The sequence below is a fragment of the Homo sapiens genome, chromosome 5, assembly GCF_000001405.40.
Source record: "Homo sapiens chromosome 5, GRCh38.p14 Primary Assembly".
NCBI classification, from domain to species: domain Eukaryota; kingdom Metazoa; phylum Chordata; class Mammalia; order Primates; family Hominidae; genus Homo; species Homo sapiens.
The window spans coordinates 171807920-171830407 of record NC_000005.10 but is presented as its reverse complement, the minus strand read 5'-3'; the positions used below and the strand labels follow the sequence as shown (position 1 = coordinate 171830407).

The 22488-nt window shown below is 46.5% G+C and overlaps 1 long non-coding RNA gene across 4 annotated transcripts in view; it reads left to right on the top strand.

The window, feature by feature from the left end:
- The window catches only part of LOC105377725 (uncharacterized), a 41656-nt gene that overhangs the window by 5300 nt on the left and 13868 nt on the right, over window positions 1-22488 (top strand). The window contains exon 1 of one of the 4 annotated variants that reach the window (XR_007059051.1): window positions 10470-10984. The exons of the other annotated variants lie outside the window; for them this stretch is intronic. This is a non-coding gene — a long non-coding RNA (uncharacterized LOC105377725). Of the gene's footprint in view, window positions 1-10469; window positions 10985-22488 lie in introns of those variants that run through there. 4 annotated transcript variants of the gene reach the window in all.

The following is a 22488-nucleotide window of genomic DNA, read 5'->3' as shown; positions in this document are numbered from 1 at the left end:
AACTCTTAAGGGAAGGTACTAGACAACAGCTTTGGCACTGATATAATTTCCTGCTAACACTGTGGCTTTATGGCTGTTGTTTGTGCTGTTACTTGAGCTTTTTCAACCCACCAGACTTCAAATTATGGGATTCTCAGTCAATTTAGATTAGAGGTTGTAGTCAGATAGTGCCTCCCTTAGCAAAGCTGTATCTTTTCCACTGGCTTGAAGAAGACTGGCTAGCTCTTGTTGGCAATCATCTCTCTTGTAGGACTCTGTTAAAATAGTAAGAAGTGGCCAGCATGGATTAATACTCTGGAATTTTCAATAATTTCTTTGTACTCCATATCCCTAATAGATATAATGTCTTAAGGCAGAGCAGGCAGCACTTTGACCAAATGTTTGCAACTGCATAAGAATGTTCATCAGCTTCTGTCAGTAATAATCAGATCCTTCTTCTGCCATATTTTAGGTTCTGTTACTTTCATTACCCTACTCCTTGTACCAATTAAAAAATTTTTTTTAATCAGAGAAGACTTTTAGTTGTGCATGATAGAAACTGACTCTGACTTAATAAGCAGAAAAAGAGCTTAATGAAAGAATAGCAATAATGTAGAATTGTTGCAAAGGCAGAAGAATCAGGCTCAAGGCTAAGTTTCCAGAAATAATATTCCTAAAAATGCTGGAGAACTGATCTGTTGAGAAAACTGTGGCCATTGCTACTACCAAGCACTAAATTCTGTATCTCACAATGCTGTCAGGAACTCAACTTCAGTGCAATGAATACTGCTGCCAGCACTGATGTTATTTCTGTTCTAGTAATTTCACTTTTAAACTACTACCAACACCCTCACAACCAGATGTTTCTGGTGCTACCTTCTCTAGCAACTTGGATTTTGAGAAGAGCCTCCTTTTCCATGTTCTTACATTATATTCAAAGTCTACATGAATACATCTTGTTGGTGGCACCTAGAATAGACTAGCGGCTAGGTGCAAAGGGGGCTAGAGAAATAAGTTTTCTGAATTCTACCTTAGAGAGAAAAGATTCATAAGGCTGAAAATTCCATAAACATATTAAGAATGTTCAGCAAAGAACACGACAAATCTACACATCAGCTTTATTCACAGGCTGTACGTGGTGTCTGCAAAAGTTTCAGGCTCTTCTTTTATGGTGACAAGAGGGCTGAGAAGCTCCAAACTCACATCAAGTTCAATCCCAATGGAAAAAAGTAAGAGTTTCCCCCTTACCTCCACAAAACTTTTGAGATTCACTTTAATTGGACTGGTGAGGTCAAGCACTCATCCCTGAACTAGTTCAAATGGCCCAAAGCATGATGTGCCTTATGGGCCAGGATTGGGTTATGTGTTCTACCCCTGAAACAGGGATTTTTATCCAGAACTCATGGCCTGAGAAAGGAGGGGAGAACCACAAACAAATATTGGGAAATGGGGAATGGATTCTGATAAAGAAACAAATAAAGAAGAGTTAATGTCTTCCATTCTATATAGAGAGCAGGTCATTTTGCCCATGTCTTCTAAAACTTCCTCTGAACAATTTTTTCAGTACAAGAAATATCATTGATTGATTGGATTTATGGGTTCCTATCTTATTCGACAGGTTACAATCAGTTGCTATCCTCATTTATTTGATAATAAAATTGTCCCAGATTTGGGCAGTGAGAGCCCCTTCACCTTGAATTCTGTATCTTTTTAGATGAGTCCCTATCTTTCTCTAAGCACTACTTTATGTTTTGGTAAAAGATAAATCTTAACTTTTTCTGGGCCAGCCCTGGAATCAGTCCTCATTGAGTCTGTGATTTTATTTTACCCTACCTACAAGCTAATAAGAGACTATTAGTATTTCATGGATGTTGGCAGAATACATGAGACTCCTGAGTCCAAGGCAAAGGACTTTATTACTTATGACACAGGAAGTAACATGAGCAATAGCATAATTCATTGGTTTTTCTGCACCCCAGTCTAGGGGAGCAACGTGATATGACCTGGATGGATGTCATGTGTGGAGTGTGTTTGCATGGCAACAAAAGAACACCGAGCTTGAGGAATCCACCACTTTTTTTTTTTTTTTTTTTTTTTGATAAAGGGTCTCACTCTGTTACCTAGGCTGGAGTGCAGTGGCACAATCATGGCTCACTGCAGCCTTGACCTCCAGGGCTCAGGTGATCCTCCCACCTCAGTCTCCTGAGCAGCTAGGGCTACAGAGGTGCACAACCACACCCAGCTAAGTTTTGTTTTTTGTAGAGACAGGCTTTCACCATGTTGTCCAGTCTAGTCTTGAACTCCTGGGCTCAAGCGATTTGCCTGCCTCGGTGTCCCAAAGTGCTGGGATTATAGGCATGAGCCACCACGCCCAGTCCGATCCAACAATTTTTTTTTTTGAGATGGAGTCTCACTTTGTCACCCAGGCTGGAGTGCAGTGGCGTGATATTGGCTCACTGCAACATCTGCCTCCCAGGTTCAAGCAATTCTCCTGCCTCAGCCTCCTGAGTAGCTGGGACTACAGGCACGTGCCACCACGCCTGGCTAATTTTTTTGTATTTTTAGGACAGACAGGGTTTCACTGTGTTAGCCAGGATGGTCTCGATCTCCTGACCTCATGATCCACCCACCTCGGCCTCCCAAAGTGCTGGGATTACAGGCGTGAGCCACCACCCCCAGCCCAGATCCACCACTTTTATAGCAAACAATAAGCAAGCCTAATCTTTATTCTGGAAGGAGACATTACTTGCTCTGCAAAGTTGCTCACTGCAAACACAATCGTGATATGGGCCTGGGAAGGAGTAATCAGGTCTTCCATTCTTGGCACACCAAGCAAGAATGTGCAGGTGTTCTTGGGCCTATAGCAATTTGCCTCTTCAGGAGCCATTTCTCCATTGACTCTTGGTTTATTTTAGTGGAGGATGGTATTTAGAAACCAAGATCTACTTGCTAAGCTGCTCATTCTATTGAGTTGTTGCTTCTAGATGCACTTGGTGGACAGAGCTAGGGAATACATGTATACACACACACACGCACACACACGCACACGCACACACGCACACACGCACACGCACACACGCACACACGCACATTCTAATCTCTATGCATCTAATCATCTCTCTTTTTCTCTGTCTTCATGAATTCACACTGATTTCTTCAAGCCAATACAACAAGTTCATCCTAGTTTTCTGCCTTTTCGTATTTGTAACACTTCTTGGACAGTAAGAAACCCAGAACATATTTACTAATTTGCTTAATGCTCCTGCAAGTAACCAATCTGTTATTACTGCCACTGCTACCTATTCTACGGTCGTGTGAATTACCTCCTGACCCACTCGTGCTCTGACCTGACGTGCTGGGATGCATCTCTCTTCCTCCTATATGGATGCCCTCCTCCCCTCAGTGTGGCTCCAACACCTTGTGCTGGTCCACTGCAGCTGCCACTACTCATGGAGACACTCTCCTCACCCACTCAGACTCTGAATCCCCATGCTAGGCTGTCACCAACACTGCCTCCCTTCATGAGTCCCCTTCTTACCCTACCTGGTGAGACACCTTGGGCCAGGCTATCCTTGCCACATCCACCACTCTGTGTAGACACGCTCCTTACCTGTCTCAGGTTCTAGAACTCCCATCTTCACCTTCTGCAGACTCCTACCTTGCTCAGCCACACATGATGGCTTTTAGACTCAATCAGGAAGGGAAAAAAAGGAGAAAGAACACAAATGATCAATTTTAACAGCTGTAAAACACTGCGTGATGTGGATGTAACCACCTAGTTACACCACCTCCATGTTTGCTTAACCGCTTCCCAGCTGTATTAAGTAGAGTTATTTATGTTTTTTCCTTTTCTAGTTACCATTCCAGGAATCAAACTATAAACATAAATCTTTGTGCATCTCTCTGTACACCTCCCTGATGACTTTATTAGGACAGATTCCTAGAAGGGGAATACTTTCTGGGTCAGAGGGTCTGGATGTTTTGAAAGCTCCTGGTCTTTGTAGCACAGCTTCAGTGTTCATCTTACGATTCATGCAACCTTAAATAAATAAACAAGTGTGACTGTGTCCCCGAGGCTGCTTGGGATTTTCTACAGATGATACTTGTTTCACCGCTGAATGACATCACCTCCCTTTTTACACCAAGATTGATGTGGGAAATTCTGTATAAATACCCTGCATCAACAAGCCATTGTGTCACCAGGCCTCTTAAAGATGGGCAGCCCACTGCAGTGTGTTGGCCCAGCCTGTGCGGGACAGGCGCCCATGATTTATAAGGTCCAAGCATGAAGTCTTCAGGAAAGTTGGTGAAGTACTTTATAGGTCACCTGTATTTTTCCTACCATAGATGTTTTGACTCACGGGTTTCCTTTATGTCACTCTGTCCATAGTCTAGGTATTATTAAAATGGAATAAAGAAGTTACTGTAGCAGAGGCTGAGTAGCTCGGGGGAGGGAGTTTAAGATTCTAAATAGGAGAAGAAAGAAGTAACAGGAGAGGGTATTAATTAATTAGGACAAATATTGGCAGCCAAGCAACTTAGTATTTGCTGCATGAGGACCACTGGCCCAGCTTTGTGCTAGAAGCTGTGGGGGAGTTCACTTGTTCATTCATTGAACAGACTGACTGGTCACCTACTGTATGTCAGGCACTATCCTAGGTGCTGGGGACCCAAGAGAAAATAGACATTGTCCCTTAAGGAGCTCAGAGTCTAGAAGAGGAGAAACCAAGTCTATTGTGGAATATCTGCTGGAGTTCTTGATCCAGCTTACAGAAGTTTCTGGCAAGGTTCTAAGCAGGATGCTTGAAGTAGAAAAATGTGTCTATTAGGTGGCTGTGGTGGGGGAAGGTCTTTTAAGTGAGACAGAACAGCTTGAGCAAAGGCATACGTTTCCCTGAATTCACCAGGAAGGATTTAGTGTGTCTGTTCCACATGTCCAACACCGTGCCAGGGACTGCAGAGAGGGTGAATTTCATTCCCCATATTTTAGCTCGGAAGGTTGTGAGAGGACTGTCTGCAAAAAGTTATTAAATGATTTTCTTCCACTTCCAGGATAAATTCCAAATATCTTACCCAAGCACCCAAGGCTGACTCAGTCAGCATTTTCTGTGTGACAAATAACCACACAACATCAGTGGCATGTCCACCTTGATAAGCATTCATTGCTCTTGCTCATGCATGCGTGGTTGGTGAGGATGTGGCTGATCTTGGCTGGGCTCGCCTGGGCTGGTCTCTGGGTGTGTGTTGAGTCCCAGGCCTACCCCATGTGTCTCTCAACCTTTCTAGGTCAGTGATGGCCTAAAGGATGTTCTTGTCATGGCAAAAGGCAAGAGTAGAAGAGGTCAGTTCTAACCTTAGAAGCACATTTCAAGCTTTTTGTTCCCCTCCTGTCTGCTAGTGTCCGTAGGTCAAAGCAAGTCACACAGTTGTGCCCAAAGTCAAGGTGAAGAGAGTGCACTCTGAGGGTCATGGCAAGGGTCAAGGAGTTGTATAATAGGTCCCCTGCAATCTGGACGGTGCAGAGCTTACCTGCCTCTGAAGGTAAGCCTCACCTCTTTCTTCTTCTCTTTTGGTACTTCTGCTATAGCCATGCGTGTTCCCTGGACATGCTACATATTGTGCACATGCTATTCCACAGACCTAGGATGCTCCTCCCTGTCTCATACATTTGGTCAACCCTATCGCATCATTCCTGACTAAGCAAGGCCTGGCTCAAAAGATCAGGGAGGACATCCTTATTTGTCTTTCTTTTCCTCTCCATAGGTATGGGTGGATCATGGGGATTCAGGGCCCCTCTTGGTACTTGGTTCTCTCTTTGGGTATTCTCTCTTTCTCTCCTCTCACCTCTCTCTTTCTCTCTCTGTCTCTCTCTTGCTTTTGTTCTCAGCCTGCATTGGCATGATCATTTAAAGATGAACATCTGGCATAGAGAGTTGGCCTTACTTTGGCCCTGAACCCTCACTAGGATGCTCTGCAGGGTAGAAGGCTCACCTGGGCAGCTGTTCATGGAGCAGCTCCTCTGGTTTCTCTTCCACCCTTGCTCTTCAGGTTCTCTGTGTGGGGAGGGTGGTGGTGACAGTAAAAGGCAGGATCCAGGCATTCCTGGGTCCTTGTGGTGACACCATCAAATAGTTCCCACTCTACCCATCCTCAAACTCAGGTACAGAGCAGGTTGTACAGAGTGGCTGTGAATGAATGAAAGGGTGAGTGAATTATGTATATATTTCCTCCATGCTGCTTTCCGCTCATCTTCAGGACTTTGGGTGAGCCTTGAAGTTGAGCTTCCAAAGGTAGAAGGAATGAAGGAGCAATGACAAGACCCAGACCTGCTCATCTTAATCAACTTTTAAGGTTGCCATCGCCAGCAGCAGCAGAAAGCAACTCCGAGAAGCAGGCATGTTGCTTGCAAAGCAGACTTTGGGGTGGAGACTTAGCTTAAAGCATCCTATTTATAGAGGTTCTAGAAAGTTATGGAGCTCTGGGGAGCCAGCCTGGGGCCACTCATAGCCCACTTAGTGCCAGTGTTGTCTTTAGGGGCCTCCAATTCCCTTTATAAAGAGCTTTTTTATATTTTTTAAACGGAGCCTGGATACTGTTAACGTGAATGTTGAACAGGTCAAGCAGTTCCAGCTATTATTGATAATAAAAAGAGAGATTCTGCAAATGTAACAGTCAACCCAGTGCCCCAGTAGGCAGCATTATTCTTGGTCTAAGTTGTGGGTTGTTCTTGCAATTTAATAAAGAAGAAAACTGAGGTTGGGAGAGGTGAAGTGATCTCTCATGGGTAGAAAGTTGCCACGGCAGGCTAGTTTCAGGTTGGCCTGGGGAGTGCTGATTGTCTTTTGCAGAGGTGTCGTGGTGTTGTAGAAGACCTAGGGGTCAGCTCAGGGCCATGAAGGAAGCAAATTTCAGGTCTGAGGACTGAGGAACCAGCTCTAGAAGGCAGAGGCTGTAAGGATTTGACATTTGCATAGGAGGTGGGGCGGGGTCAAAGTCCAGCATCAAGGCTGCAAAAAACGAGTAGGTATCAGAGACCAGTTTTAAGGTGGGGCCAGGGGCAGGTGTGTGAGCCTAAAGTGGAAAAGGGTGGCCAGACCCTGACCTGTTTGGCCTCCTCTATCCCCAGGCACCCGCTTTTTGTTGCAATTACAATGCTCCCCTGAGGCTGCTCCACAGAAAAAAAGTGCTCCTTAGAGCAAAGTTTGGCAATCAATGAGTTCAAGGAGTGGGCAGCCCCTGGCCCCTCCCACTAAAACATTAGTTGTCAAGAAGCTGCATCTACCCTGGACTAACCAAAACTGGTCAGATTTACCTGTCTACCTGCACGAGAACAGACAGCGGTGGGCACTTGTGGAAGGATCAGAGCTGATACATGATTAGGGAGGATGCAGCATTGGATGGTGTCATGCACATTTGCTGCTGTAGGTCCAGCAGCTACTCCTTTATCTTGGTATCAGCACCCCAGTTTTCATGTGGGTGCTGTCCCCCATGTAGCCCTTGTGTTTCCAAGGGAAGCAGGCCCAAATCCCAGCTCCAGAAGGTGGCCCTGGTTGGCCTAAGCTTGTGCTTACAGCTCAATGCCCTGGCATCAGCGATTGGCAGGTGTCTCAGGGAAGCATTTGCTGGGAAGTTCTGAAAAGGAAGCTTTTTCGGTTGTTCTTTCACAGAAACTATCTTCACAGAGCTGCCCTCTTTTCCACTGGACTAGGAAGCCCTCATGGCTGCTGGCAGCCATCTTGTGGCCAAGAGGGAGGGCAGGCAGATGCAGGAGGCAGAGTGGAGAAATGGAAGGGAATGAAGTTCTTGGAGACTCTGCAGAGCTGCTAACAAAGTTTTGCTGAAGCCTATCCCTCCTCTGGACTTCTCAGTCACAGGAGTTAATACGTTAACACAGTCATTTGGTGTGATTGAGGAATGCACTGTTCCTGAGTGATTTAGAGAGCTTCTACCTCCTCTATGTTCTCTTTGGAAGCATTTTCAGGCCATCTTGCAGATGCAGTCTCTGAGTTATGCCCCTGCCCTGGGCTCAGGGGACATGTTGAGGAGGTCATGGATCCCTGCATGCCTGCTGAGGACCAGCCCCTCCCCTACACCATTCTTCTCCCCTGCTCTGGTCCATATATCAGACCAGCCTAGCAACCATGATGACAGCAAAATCTCAGAAACTGGGGTGGGGGACATGCTTTTCAATATTTTTCTTTTCAATAAAATATTGTCTTGATTTCCTTTCTTGAGACCTCTCTACCCATGTTGGATGAGGTCAGCCATAAGACGGAAGCCTCAGGGGCTGTAAGAATGGACTCCTCAACTGAAATTTGGACAGAATGCTCTCTCTGGTGCTTCCCAACTCTGACAAGCTCTGGTTCTGTGAAAGTTGATCCAATGATGGTAAAGGGACTCCAGGAGCGTCTGCTGGGTGCCAGGCACCTCCTAGCCACTCTGTCCTTTGCAGAAGTGGAAACTGAGGCTGTGGATAGCTCAAGGCTACAAGGAGGCAGAGTTAGGATTTGAATTTAGCTCCTTTTGACACTAAGACCATTACATTCCATGACTACACGTGCTGTGCCCTTGCTTTGGGACACCTTTTTTTTTTTTTTTTATAAAGATGGTTACTCCGCTTTGGAAAAGGTCAATGGAGGGACACACTGCAGCCTGGGGAAATTTTTTTTGGAGCTGTTGTCTCACAGGATTTTTTTTCTTTTCATGAACTTAGTTCAGCCAAGGGTGCTTTGAGAGGCCAATTTTCAGTCTCGCCCCCCATTGAAACTCAGAAGAACATGAACCAGGGCCAGCGAGCTTGCTGGGTGAACTTGGAAACAGTGGCAATTGGTCAGAGTTGGCCTGTCTCTAGCTCCCTGTGTACTAGTGGAGGGATGTTTGTTGTTTCAGTGGCCACCGAGCAGAACTCAGGGAGAGGGTGTGGAGCCCTCAGAGGCCAGGCAGGCTGAGAGGATGGCATGTGTGCACACCACAAACCAGCTTCCAAACATAGCCACAGTTCAGGGGAAAAAACCCCAACCTGACTTCATAAGCTCTCCTGATGGATATATAAATCCTCTTGAGGAAACGCTGGGTTATTATTGAATGTTCACTGTGTTTCCTGGATGGAGTTTGGAAGAGAGTAGACAACTCAACTTTTGTTCGGCAGGAACTTGGAAGACAGGGGATGGGGCTCTGTAACCCACCTACACATACATCTTTCAGCATGGAGCGTCTGTTCAATATGCCCTCACCTAGAGCCCGGTCCTGCGTGAATATGCTCATGCACTGAGACCTCGGGCAAACCTGGGGGCTGAGGAGCCTTATCCAGATTGCACAGGTGAGGCCATGGGTCCCATGCCGGTGAAGAGACTCACATCAGCTCGTACAATCTGATGGTGCTGGAGTTAGGATTTGGATCTCAAACTGGTTCTCTCCAAAAGTCATCTCTTAACCACTCAGTTTAATTGCCTCATCACATAAAATTACCTCACCTGGAAGAAATGCCCTGTTCAGGTATGTATTCAGATGGTGTGGGCCGGGGCCAGGAGGAGGGCAAGCATGCAAGTGAACTTTCGTATTGAGCTGACCTGTTCATGAGCCTTCTCTGCCATGAAGGGAACCACCCCCCTCCCCCACTCCTGGCCCGCCATGAAACTGACGGAGAGGTATGGGTATGACATTGCTGAGCGGGATGGTGGCTGGGCCACCTGTGCGTGGAGCTGAATTGTGCATTCTGGACCTGCTGTTGCTCAATCTGGAATGTGCCACTCCCATCATCTTACGACAGGCTATAGCTGGGCCTGTCCAACTTCGTGACTTGATGGATCATGACGGGCAGTTCTGGTTGCGTGTTCACTTGATATTTCATGGCCAAGTGCTTCGTAATGAGCAGACAAATAGTAAGCCAGGAGCTGTTTGTTGAAAGGTACATAGCTCTCCACCACAGATAGCACGGTCTTGTTCTGGAAGCCCAGGGAACTATGCTGTGATTCTTCTACTGGGGCCTTCAGTAAACTCCTCATGGCGCCTTCTTTCTCTTATGGAAAACTCTAATATCGGAGGCCCGGCGGAGTCATATGGCCCAAGTGGCAGGGCTGCTTGCTCACAGCCCGGACCTGCCGCCCAGCCCTTTCCTGCTCTGGGTCCCATTCGCACCTGGAGACTTCTGTGTCGCTCAGTAAACTGTTTCGGAGAAGTTTCCCCAACTGTGGAATCTGCTGCCTCCAGACCCCAAAAAGGCACACCAGGCTTTGTGCTTCCTTTTGAGTGGTGGGAGGTGGGAGATGCTTTAATTTGTCTTTTATTTTGGAGGGGATGGCCCCTTACATAGTAAGGCCCACTCTTCCGTGCTTAGGACTAAAAATGTCACCAATATAGGGGGTTGTTGATTTTTATTTTTTTAAGAGGCAGAGTCTCACTCTGTTGCCCAGGCTGGAGTGCAGTAGTGCGATCATAGCTCACTGCAGCTTTGAACTCCTAGGCTCAAATGATCCTCTTGCCTCAGCCTCCGGAGTAACTGGGATTATAGGCATGAGCCACCACACCTGGCTGAATTTTTAAGGCTCATTTTCCAACCTCTAGAGCCCATGTGTCTTGTGAGAGCCTCTTGCCTACTTGGCACTTCTTGCTCATTTAGTTTGACTAATACAACGTCATCGAGATGGTGATATTTGCCATGGCTGTTATTGTTACATGTGATGTTCTGCAGAATGTGCAGATGGGGTCTAGATCCCTTTGGACTATATCATGAAAAAGAATGGGACAACTCATATAGCCCTAGAGTACGACTGTCAGTTTACACTGTGGACTGCTCCATGGGAATGCAGACTGCTCTTGGTACTCTTTCTTAACAGGGACAGAAAATAATCCATTGATCCCAGCTGGGGTTGCATGCCATGCACCTGAACTGTGTTAGTCTGCTCTTGCAAAGATGCCACATCTGGACCAGCTGCTGTAATTGTTGAGCTCGTGCAGTCTACTGTCATCCTCCAGAATCCGTCTGGTTTTTGTAGGGAGCAGATGGGTGAGTTAAATGAGGATATTACGGGGACTACCACTGCTGCTCCTTTAGGTCTTTAAGGATGGCACTAATTACTGTCATTCTCCTTGGGCTGTGATTTTGTTTTGGATTTAACGTCATGGCTGGGGGATGAGGGCAATTTTGAAGGCTTCCACTTTGGCTTCCTTCACCAGAATGGCTCCATCTGCCAAGGAACGAATGTGGGGGTTCTCCTAACTACAACAAGCATTCATTACACTCACGCATTTGAGAACCAGCGAAAGGACCACTGGTTGCATCCACTGTGAGCCAGACCTGGGCCAGATTTACTGGGGACTATGTTGATGTGGCAACTCAGATCTGGTGTCCAGCAGTCCTTGAAATGTCTGGGTATTTTCCCTGACATCTCACCTGGCACTAGACGCCCTTGGGGAGTGATTGAGGGCATCATGACTGCAAACACTCACTGTGGTGTTCCAGGGCCTTTCCTCATGAGGACCCCTCTACTCCTGCAGTTGGCAGTTTCTAGGTCTAAAATCTGAGCAAGGGACCATGATATTTAATTGAGGTAACCTCTCTTAGTCTCCTGAATCAATCATCCTTGATTTCCTTTAATTGTATACAGTGAGAAATGCCCTTTTGGGGAAGATACCTTTGCTTTGCCCCCAGGGGCACTGCATTCTCTTCACCCTTTCTGTAGGGCTCCGTGGGGTGGGCTCCCTGCTTCCACCCCATCCTACCACTCATCACTATGCCACCACCGACCTTGCCTCTGATGGTTAAGCACTGCTGCCTGGCCTCTGTTATTCTGTGATTCAGTTGCTATCATGGAGCCTGTTCCAGTAACAGCATCTCCTACCAAGAGCACTGGCCATGAGAACAGCCACCCTGACCTTCAGTTATGTTGCTGTCCCTCCCAGTGCATTATTTATTGCATCAGTAGATGGGGCATCCTCTGGACTCACTTGCAGAGCAGAGTGGGAGGACACAGTAGGAGAACATATCTACTCCAGCACACTCACGTCTCCGAGTCCTCTGATTCCTTCTTTCAATCATCTATAATAACAGCGCTGACATTTCTGTTTGACTCAGTGCTAGCCATTCCAAAAGCCACCAAGGGACGTTTTTAGTGTTGGCACCTGGGGTCCTCTCTAGGGTGTAAGTCCTGTATGGTAAGACAGTGTGCCTGTATGGATAAACCTTCATTTCAGTGACCATATTCTGCCTCTTTATCCAGCATATGATCTCTTTTCCTGCTGGTTCACATGGCTAGGTCTCACAGCTCCTTCAGGGGACAGTGCCTTTCTACCCTTAGCAGGTGCAACTCTTCCCTGATTGGGTTATGTTGTCTTAAACCTAGTTATTGGTGTAGTGGCCAGAAGGGGCAAGGGGGCATATTCTCAGACAGTGTGCTTTCTGGCAAGGCACCTCTGCATCATTTTCAAGTAAGGGAAGAATTCTAGCCTTTAGCAGGGAGCAATGGGCCACTTCTGCAGGCCAGTGGTTTCAGGGGATTCTGGGGATTCATGATTTTCAACTGTATCAACCCAGATGTCTCCATCTCGACTCAAAGTTATCCTCCTCCCCAATCGGGGCCCTGACTTTGGCATAGTAGCCTTGCTGGCACAGAGAATTCCACCTTTTCTGGAGTTCTGCTCTCCCTGTGAAGTTCTGAGCCCAATCCACAGCTTCTTCTGAGCTCTCCTGCAGAAAATGAGAGTCTCTGTGTACTGCCAAAAAAGACCTTCTGGTTTTCACACTATGCTTTCCATTGGTGATTACTTATCATGCCCAGCCTTTCATTGCCTTCTTCCAGGCATCAATGGTGTGCAGCAACCACTATCCTGTTCCATTGTGCTGATAGTTGCTACTTCCCAAAACCTCTCAGAAGCCTAAGGCAGTGGACCCACTAGTGCCTCCCTTGCCCGGCCATCCCCTCTCACATGACTGGTAAAGGTTGTAACCATGACACTGCAACCTTCACGCCAGGGGCTAACTTTCCTCCATTCGCCATGGTGAGGAGGGTCCTTCCAGCTGGACAGCAGGTAATCCAACTCTAAAATCCCATTTTAGAGTCTACTTCCATCCCATCTATCTTAGGCTGGATTCCCCAGGAAAGAGACCCTGAGACAGATTTGCAAGCAGCTGGCTTACTGGGGTTCTCAGGAACAGAGCCTGTGTAGAGAGAAGCAAGACTGAGCCAATGGAAGGTTGAACCATGATGCAGTTGCAGCAGGGGATTCAGCTGATCCCCCTGGGAACTCTGAAGCTGAGATGCCTTTCAAAGATGTCCTGATTTGAGGCAAGGAGGCTGGGCCTTGGTGTCCTAGCACTAACAGTCAAGTGATATGGGCTTCTGTGGGGAGGGGAATAGCTGCCGATGAGGCAGTTTCCTTTAGCTGAGGGTGATAAAGAAGAATATTATTCTGACACTTGTGAAAATGGTGAGAAAGGCTATTCAAGACTATTGCAATAGGGGAGAGAGATCTGACTCAACTCTGAATATAGCAAGGATGAGAGGGGATTTATAGGCAAGGAGCAGGGTGAGGGATCAGGGATGAAAAATGCTGAAGAGGAGAGATCAAGTGTAGGAGGATTCTCACCAAACTTGCCTAACAGGATTCTTGCTAAAGGCAGGCCAAGAACCTTCACATCAAAGGTGGAGATAAGGAACTTGACCAGGTATCATGGGTGGTCAGATATTAAGGGATGAGGGGATTCATTCTAAACTGACTTAGCAAGATTCTGGCTAAGACTGGACTCAAAAAACGTGCAGAGATGGACCCAGAAGCCCAAAGTTGAAGCCTGGTCAAGAAGAGGGCTCAGAGGAGCCTAAATAAAGTTTGGTCAAAGAGAGAGTCTTTGTCAAGGGCCATGCCTAGGATGTGAGCCATTGGCCAGTGTGAGGAATGAGTTGTTCCTTGGTCTCACAAGTGGCCTCAGGTCTACCAGTGTCTGATGTTAAATTTCTCTTTGCCTGTTCACTGGTTGTGTGGGTGATCACTTTCTGCCCTTCACATTTCCCTAGTAAACACAATCTGGGTAGAGTCAGACAAAGGACTATTAAGCTGAAGGGAGAAGAAATGGGGTTATTGGAATGATTGGAGCCAGACTAGAAACTTGATTACTGAAGCCAACATCCTTTTACACTGCTTGGGCTGTGAAGGTGTTGAATAAATTGAATTATTGGTGTCTGAGCCTCTCCCCTGCCTGGGAAGCAGAGATCAGTGATCACCTGGAATAGGCGGTGCAGGCTGAGGGGGTCTCTTACCCATTGCTCTCATGTAATGGGTATGTCTGGGAGAGGGCTGAGGGTCAGGTAAAGATACAGGTGGCTCTAAAAGGGTGATTAAAGCAAACGTAATTTGATTTTTCCCAGGAATCCCAGTTTTATGGTGCAAATGCATCAACTTTCACAGACTTTTACTACAATTCACACAATGTAGGAAATGTAGGACATTGGGCTCTCTGAGGTCTGCCTGGTTATTTCTGGGAATCTCTAGGGGTGTCTCATGTGAACCCAGCCTTTTAGATGACTCTCCAGTTCCCTTAATAATGTCTGCTGCCCAAAAAACTACCTGAGGGCAGTGCAATGCCAATGTCAATGCCGATGGAGATGTTTGGATGAGGATGCTGCACCCTCGTCGCTCCCAGGGTTACAACCCTTCAAGGGGCAATTCAGTCAGTGTTCCTGGGCCCCATCTGTATAGGGGCCAGGATGAGTTCCAAGCAGAGCATGACGGGGCCTTCTGGGAAAAGCAGCTTTCTCGCTGTCTTGAGAGGGCCCCAGGCAGCCAGGCTCTCCTTCTCTCACACCAAACACATTGAGGACAGACAGTAGCCATACCTGCTGCTGAAAGCATCTCACAGACACAGATAAGCAGTCTCAGGATGAAGGTGACACTGTGGACAGTGGATGGAAGGGCAGAAAGGCCCCAAGTCCTTCTTGACGTTGTTGAGACACTAGATCAAGGACATTTTGAGTTCCCCACCCCCCACAAAATTTAATCATATATGAACAGATAACTAGACTGTCCAAGCCAGTTTGAATTGGGTTTTCTTTTATTTGCTAGTTGAAGCCTTTTGACCCTATGCAGCTCTCTTTAACTTCTGTCTTTAGCTCCTCTCTTGAAAAGACTCAGATGCAAATCAGGAGACTTAGTTTTTTGCTGTTTGCAAATATCTCCTCTCTCCTCTAACCAAAACTCCCCACAAATCCACCCGTGGTGACCACCCTTGCACACTCAGCCTCAGCTCAATCATAGTTGAGGGTTCCACCTCGGGATACTTAAATAAGGAGAACCTGAGACAGTTAATGGGAGGCAGATTATGGCACCAATGACTAGAGAGTCTAGGAGGGTGAGGATGGGTACTTGGAATGAAACATGGGGAGTCTCAGTTCTAGAATCAGAATTCTGGTTCCAAATCCCAACTCCACCAGTGTTAAGACCAGGGTTGGGTGAGTCATTTACTTCTCCGTGCCTCTACTTTAAATTGGGCTTAATAAGAGCATCTAACACAGAGGTTTTTTTTTTCAGAATTAAGTGAGATAATGTAGATAAGATGCTTAAACAGGGCTGATATACAGTAAGTACATAATAAATGTTTCCCACTCTTGGCTGCTCTGATGGGTTAGCTGGTGTGATCTGGATGTGTGGAAAAGCAGAGCAGGGGTCTGTTTCCCACCTTGGGGTTCTCAGCTCCTCCTGGGTGAGCTGGGCTAGGTATCTGGGCTGAGTCTGCCTAAAAGGCCAGAGAAGGAATGGAAACTGGGTTAGTCCTTGATGTGGAATTCTCTTGCTTTCTACATTGAATCCAAACAACTCAGTGGTGGTGATGGGTGGGGCAGTAGGACAGTAAGTGGCTGTTGTCATGTCTGAGCACACACCCCGTCCTCCTTCTGCAAGAGGAATTAGCCTGGATTTGAGTGTTCGGAAGGCATCGGAAGGTGGCTCACCACAGCTTTAAACTTCTTTTCATCTTGCTTGGGCCCTGTCACATCTTTATTGGGTTTATAAATTCTTTTTTCCCCTTTCTTTTAAAAATCTCTGTTTATTCGTAGAGCCGCTCATTTTAAAACTTGTGCAATATCTTAAATGTCATTTTTGCCCCAGTCTGCTCATAACGCATGAGCAAGTGCCTCTTACATAACTCTTACATGCAGCTCAGAGGGCCTTTGAAAGTCATGATTCCCAGCAAGCATTTAACATGGACAATGATTACATAACATGGAAAATGTGCAACTCTCATCATTAATTTGATCTAGTCTTTTGAAGTCGAGGAGATAGAGGCTACATATAGACCTTGCCAGCAGAACTGGTTAATTCTACTAGTTCAGGCTGGTCTACTAAAGGCCTCAAGGAGACCTGATGCAATCAAGTTTACTGCCCAGTGTAGTGAAATAACCAGCCAGACACAGTCCTCAACTGGGTCATCTCTCTCAGACAACTGGCCTTCGTTTATTTTCTCTTTCCACTGTATTGGCCAGTGGAATTGGATTAATTGGCCTGTTGTTTTGGCATTGAGTACAGTCAAATCATTGGCCAATTCGGTGGGGGAAAAACATCTGTCAAGCTTGTTGTTCCGCTAGCTGATCTGAAGCCCTGTGTAGACACAGCTGTAGTTAAGATCTGTTGAGAAATATAGATCCAATGAACATGGTGGTTGGATGCACTGGCTACCTTTGACACGGCTGCGTTGTGTTTGTGGTCCAACATTCTTCATGCAAGAGGCCTCAATTTGCTTATATATTCTGGATGACTGATTAATTGGAGGCTTTGCTGAGGTGCGTTAAGAGCTCTAGAATCATAGGGACATTGGTTTGTATCTTGGCCACTAATTACTTGTGCGACCTCTGGAAGTCACTTTCCCTTCTGATCCTCAGTTGCTTCACCTGTAAAATGGGAACAATTCCAATACTACCTGCCTCATGCCATTGTTGCCAGGTTTGGTGACCAATCGTCTTGGTTTGCCCAGGACTGAAGGAGTTCCTGAGATGTGACTTTTGGTTTTAAAACTGGGACATTCCTGGGAAATGAGCTGGTCACCTGGTGAGTATTAAATGAGACAGAGCCTTCAGAGTATTTAAGACATGTGAAGGACATTTCATAAACGCTAGGTACATTATTTACCATCTAGTTTTTGATCAAGCACCCATTGACTGGAGCCAGTAAAAAATGAGATGATCCCTCCTTCAAGATAGTGTGAGTTCCTCATAACATAGGACAGGCCACTCTCCTCTCTCATATATGGCATTTACCACCCAAATTCTTCCTCTGTGTCAGATGAGGTTGACAGGCTTCTGGAGTTTCAGGAACAGTTAATCTAAGAAGGGCCCAGCTTTTCATTACCATCTAGAACTTTCTGACCCCAAAGCCAGGAAGCCTGCATTTTGTGTCCTGCTCCGTCACCACCTAGTTATGTGACTGAGATGGTAGCACTTTACTTTGGTGAGACTCAGTTTCCTCAAAGGGACAGAATGATATCATTGCCTCATGGGGCTCTCGTGAGCCTAGAAAGAAATCATGCGTGTAAAAGGGCTTGCTGAACTGCAAGGCATCATTCAGATGGGAAATATTTTAATAAAGGCCTAATCCCGCAGGTTTTCTGCGCTTCAGCAAAGAATGGGAGACTTCCACCATCTTTAGACTTAGATCCCCAAATCCAACCATTGACCACTCCGCCACCAGGCTCTTGCTACGTGATATTCAGGCTGGCTCCACCCTCAAGGCAGTCAGGGTCTATAGACGGATACATTCGATGTCATGAATTGAGATAAGAGAGGATCCTGGTCCGGGTGCAATGGCAGCTCTGAAGAGAGAGGCATATAGCCCGGCATGGGAGTCAGAGAAGGGCCAGGTATGGGTTAAGCTGAAGAGTGAAGGAAAAAAGTTCCAGGCAGAGGGGAGAGCTTGAGCCACTGTGGAGGGGAGGAGTGCCTCCAGGAACTGTCAGTGTCCCCGGGCGACACTCATGAAGTGGGAACCTAATGAAGGTAAGATGGGTGGGGACCGGCTCATGAGCGGTCTCATACGCAGTGTTCGTATGGACTCTTTTAGTTAAGAGAGGCAACTAAACTAAGTTGAGTGAAAAGGGGGATTTGTGGGAAGATCCTGGCATAGCTCAGAGAATTGAGGGCAGAAATACAGAAAGCCCAGGCCTGACAGTCCCTCGTCCCTTCTCTCGCTCTCCCCCATCCTCAGTTACAACCTTTCCTACTAGAGGTGGCCAGCACGGCATGGAACATGGTCATCAGCAGCCCAGAGGGGCATCTTCTCCAGTTCATCCTCCAGATTCAAGAATCCTCCCTCCTAGTTCCAGTAGAAAAATCGAGGAAGAGGTTTCTGATTGACTGTGTTAGGGGCAAGTGCCCATCTCCGATGAATCGCTGCAGTGGGCAGGATGGGGCGTTAGGACTGGCTCTGTGGGTCACTCTGCTCCCAGGTGGGAAAAAGAGGTATCGGGTAGCGACAGTGATAAACACAGTCGATCCTCACTATTTGCAGATTTCTTTGTGAACTCACTTATGTGCTAAAATTTACTTGTAGTTCCCAAATTACTCACAGTGCTTTTGTGGTTATTCATGGACATGCAGAGAGCAGTGAGAAATTGGAGTTGCCTGGCTGAGTTGCACACATTCCCAGTGGAAGCCAAGCAAGGTGACTCTCTATCTCCTTGTCTCAGCTGTCACACCACAAGCCAGTGTCCTTTTCAAGGTGCATTCAGTGCTGTGTTTCTTACATTTTGTGCTTTTGTTGACGATTTTGCTGTGTATAACACCAGTGCTGAAGTACTGTCTAGTTTTCCCAAGTAAATGTAAGAAGGATGTGATGGGGCTGGGCATGGTGGCTCACACCTGTAATCCCAGCACTTTGGGAGACCAAGGCGGATGCATCACGAGGTCAGGAGTTCAACACCAGCCTGGCCAACATGGTGAAACCCCGTCTCTACTAAAAATACAAAAATTAACTGGGCATGGTGGCACATGCCTGTAATCCCAGCTACTCGGGAGGCTGAGGCAGGAGAATTGCTTGAAACCTGGAGGCATAGGTTACAGTGAGCCGAGATTGCACAATAGCACTCCAGCCTGAGCGACAAGAGTGAGACTATGTCTTGAAAAAAAAAAAGATATAATGTGCCTTACAGAGGAAATATGTGCATTGGAAAAGTTTCATTCAGGCATGAGCTATAGTCCTGTTGGCCGTTCTTAGTTCACTGTTAATGGACCAGCAATATATGTGAAATACATGTTAAAATTAAACAGAAGCAGACACACGGGCAAGATTATATATTGATCTGTTGATGAAAATATTGTGACCAGAGGCTTGCAGGAACCTAACCTTGCATGTCCCCTAGGAACAATGGTTTGGTGTTCACTAAATCAGCATTTGTGGTGATTTTATAGAACATGACTGTGGTGAATAACAAGAGCACACCAGACCATGCAAAAAGAGTTGAGACTTTATCCTGGAAGCAGTAGGGAGCCACTGAAGGGTTTTAAATGAGAGGGAGATGGATATGATTTGTGTTTGAAAAATTCCCTCTGGCTACTGGATGGAGGTTAGAAGGAAGGACCCAGGAATGAATGCAGAACAGTCAGAAGGCGGTTATAGAATCCTCATGAGAGATAATGACATCCGATCCAGGCAAGGGGGCTGGGGATGAGGAGAAGGGGATGCATTTGAGACAGGCATTTAATAGGTAAAGTTGGTAAGAATGGAAATTCACTAGATGATGGGGGTGGGGAAGGAGGACCCCAAACATCTCCGTGCTTTAAAAATGCCCACATCTGATTATTAAAGTAATGTCTCATTGGTCTGTGCCACGTGTTTCCTTCTGTGAGAGGTGGTAGGGACCCTCAGCCTTCGGTGGGGAGCTGAGCAGCTGTAAGAGCTGGTGTTTGGGGACAGGCGCACATTCTTCCAAAGCCCTCCATGTAAGCGGCACGCAGGACCAGCTGTGTTTTCTCTGCCTCCTTACATCATCACCAGTCATAAAAACCCGACCAAGGGGAATTGTGCTGACGATCTGGGCTGTGATGTATGAGACAAAGGAGTCCAGGGACTGGTTTCAGAGTTTGCACAGTTACAATCGCTGCTGGTTGGGAGGGAAGGCAGGCTAGACCTGGCACGTATTGCATTTGACCATCGTCTACGGTTGCTCTTCAGGTCAAGAGTTTCCTGGCTTTCAGCAGACTCTGGTTGTTTAGTTCAACCATGGCCTTTTAAAACAGCTGACACTCTCTGGCAAGGTGCTGCAGCTGGGGTGGAACACCTCCCTACCTGCCCCCACTCTCCTCCCTGCAAACCTCGAGGTCCCCAGCTCCCTGATCACAGAGGCCCCCCTTTCCTAGGCTTTGGGGTCCTGGTTCAGCACCTTCCTCCAGCTTTGCTGTCTGCTTTTGGCCTCTGGGTGACCCATTGGAACACCTCACCTGAGGCCGACTGGAGGCTTCTCTGTGTCTGTGTATCTTGGATCTTTCCCTTCACAATAAAGAGTTTTCTGACGGTGCAGAGGAACCCAGTCCTGCCCCATTCCCACATGCGCTGTTAGTGTGGCCCTATTCTGCCAGTGGGCAAAATCCACATCTTTATTTTAGGGGCAAATGTTCATTTGCAAAATCCATTGAAATGGACCCTGCCACGTACTTTTTTAGAAGACATAAATGCAGAAAACCCTTATTATGCATCGTATGTTGATGATAAGTCACATTTTAGAGTGTTCATCACATGCCAGGCACAGTGCTAAGTGCTTTTACTTAATTTACCTTCTTAGGTAGCTTTTTTTGTTTGTCTGTTTGTTTGGGACAGAGTCTCGTTCTGTCGCCCAGGCTGGAGTACAGTAGTGTAATCACAGCTCACTGTAGCCTCTGCCTCCCAGGATCAAGTGATTCTCCTGCCTCAGCCTCCCAAGTAGCTGGGATTACAGGTACCTGCCATCATGCCTGGCTAATTTTTCTATTTTTAGTAGAGACAGGGTCTCACCATGTTGGCCAGGCTTGTCTTCAACTCCTGACCTCTGGTGATCCGCCCGTCTTGGCCTCCCAAAGTGCTGGGATTACAGGCGTGAGCCACCACTCCTGGCCCTTCTTAGGTAGCTTTTACTGTAGGCAAACAGAGGTTAGGGAAGGTGTCTTAAGTCCTGTTTCTTGTGAGTGACCCAGCCAGGATTTGAGTCCAGGCTGGCTGGTTGACCCCAGAGCTTGTACTTGCCACTGCTCCATTAGCAACACCAGCATCATGGCAGGAGAACACTCTCATGGCCTGTGCTCTTGCCAATGGACATTGCTGGCCAGCACTGGATGAATCAGGGTGCATGAAAATCCAGTGACTCAGAGCCCAGTGAGGCCCTAGAGCCATCTATCCCCATCACATAATTGGGGTTGAGGATTCTTCAGTTTTCAGAATTTAGAAACTCAACAGGAATGTACCATCTCCCAACATACACACTTAAAAAATATTATTTTTTATTTCTAAAAATAGTTTCAACTTTTGTTTTCAATTCGGGGGCACATGTGTAGTTTTTTTTACATGGGTATATCTTGTGATGCTGAGGTTTGGGACACAACTGATCCTGTCACCTAGGGGCTGAGCATGGTACCCAATAGTTTTTTAACTCTTGTCCTTCTTCTTCCCTCCCCTCTCTGGTAGACTCGTGTCTATTATTGCATCTTTATGAGTACCTGATGTTTAGCTTCCACTTATAAGTGAGAACGTGTGGTATTTGGTTTTCTGTTCCTGTGTTAATTCACTTAAAATAATGGCCTCCAGCTCCATCCACGTTCTGCAAAGGACATGATTTCCTTCTTTTTCATGGCTGTGTAGTATTCTATGGTGTATATGTCTCACATTTTCTTTATCCAATCCACCATTGATGGGCACCTAGTTTGATTCCATGTCTATGCTATTAACACACACTTTTAAATATTCTTTATGGGTATTTTTCTTTACACAAATAATGCATGACTCCATTTGTATTGTAAATGTTTCGAGCATATTCAAAGGAGAATATAGAAGGCCCTCCTCCTCTCTCTTTCCCCGCATCCCTCTGCAGAGGTGGTCACTACTGAAAGTTGGCCATCGCTTCTCCCGGTCCACTTCCTATGCATTTTGTGACACTCGTATGTATATATGTGTACTCTTTTGCTTCCCACCCCCGTTTTTTATAAAGGGGATCATCCTATCTGTATTACTTCGCAACTTGATTATTTTTCCGCTCACTACTTTAGAGGTCTTTCCAGGAGGATCCCTGTTGCTCTTCCTCATTCACTGGAATAGCTACATAGTATTCCGTATTATGGATTACCATGATTTACTTAACCCACTTGACCAGGCAGTTTCCCAGCAACACAGATCATTTGAAAAAGTAAATTATCCATGGTTACTGAGTGGTAAGCAAATAAATAATAAAGTCTAAATGGGAGAAGGTTGTCAAGGGCGGAGTGTTAATTGGGTTATAGGAAAAGAAGCAAGGGGATAGGGTGTCTCCCCCAGCTCTAACCCAGCGTCTCCTGCCTACAGGTGTCTGCT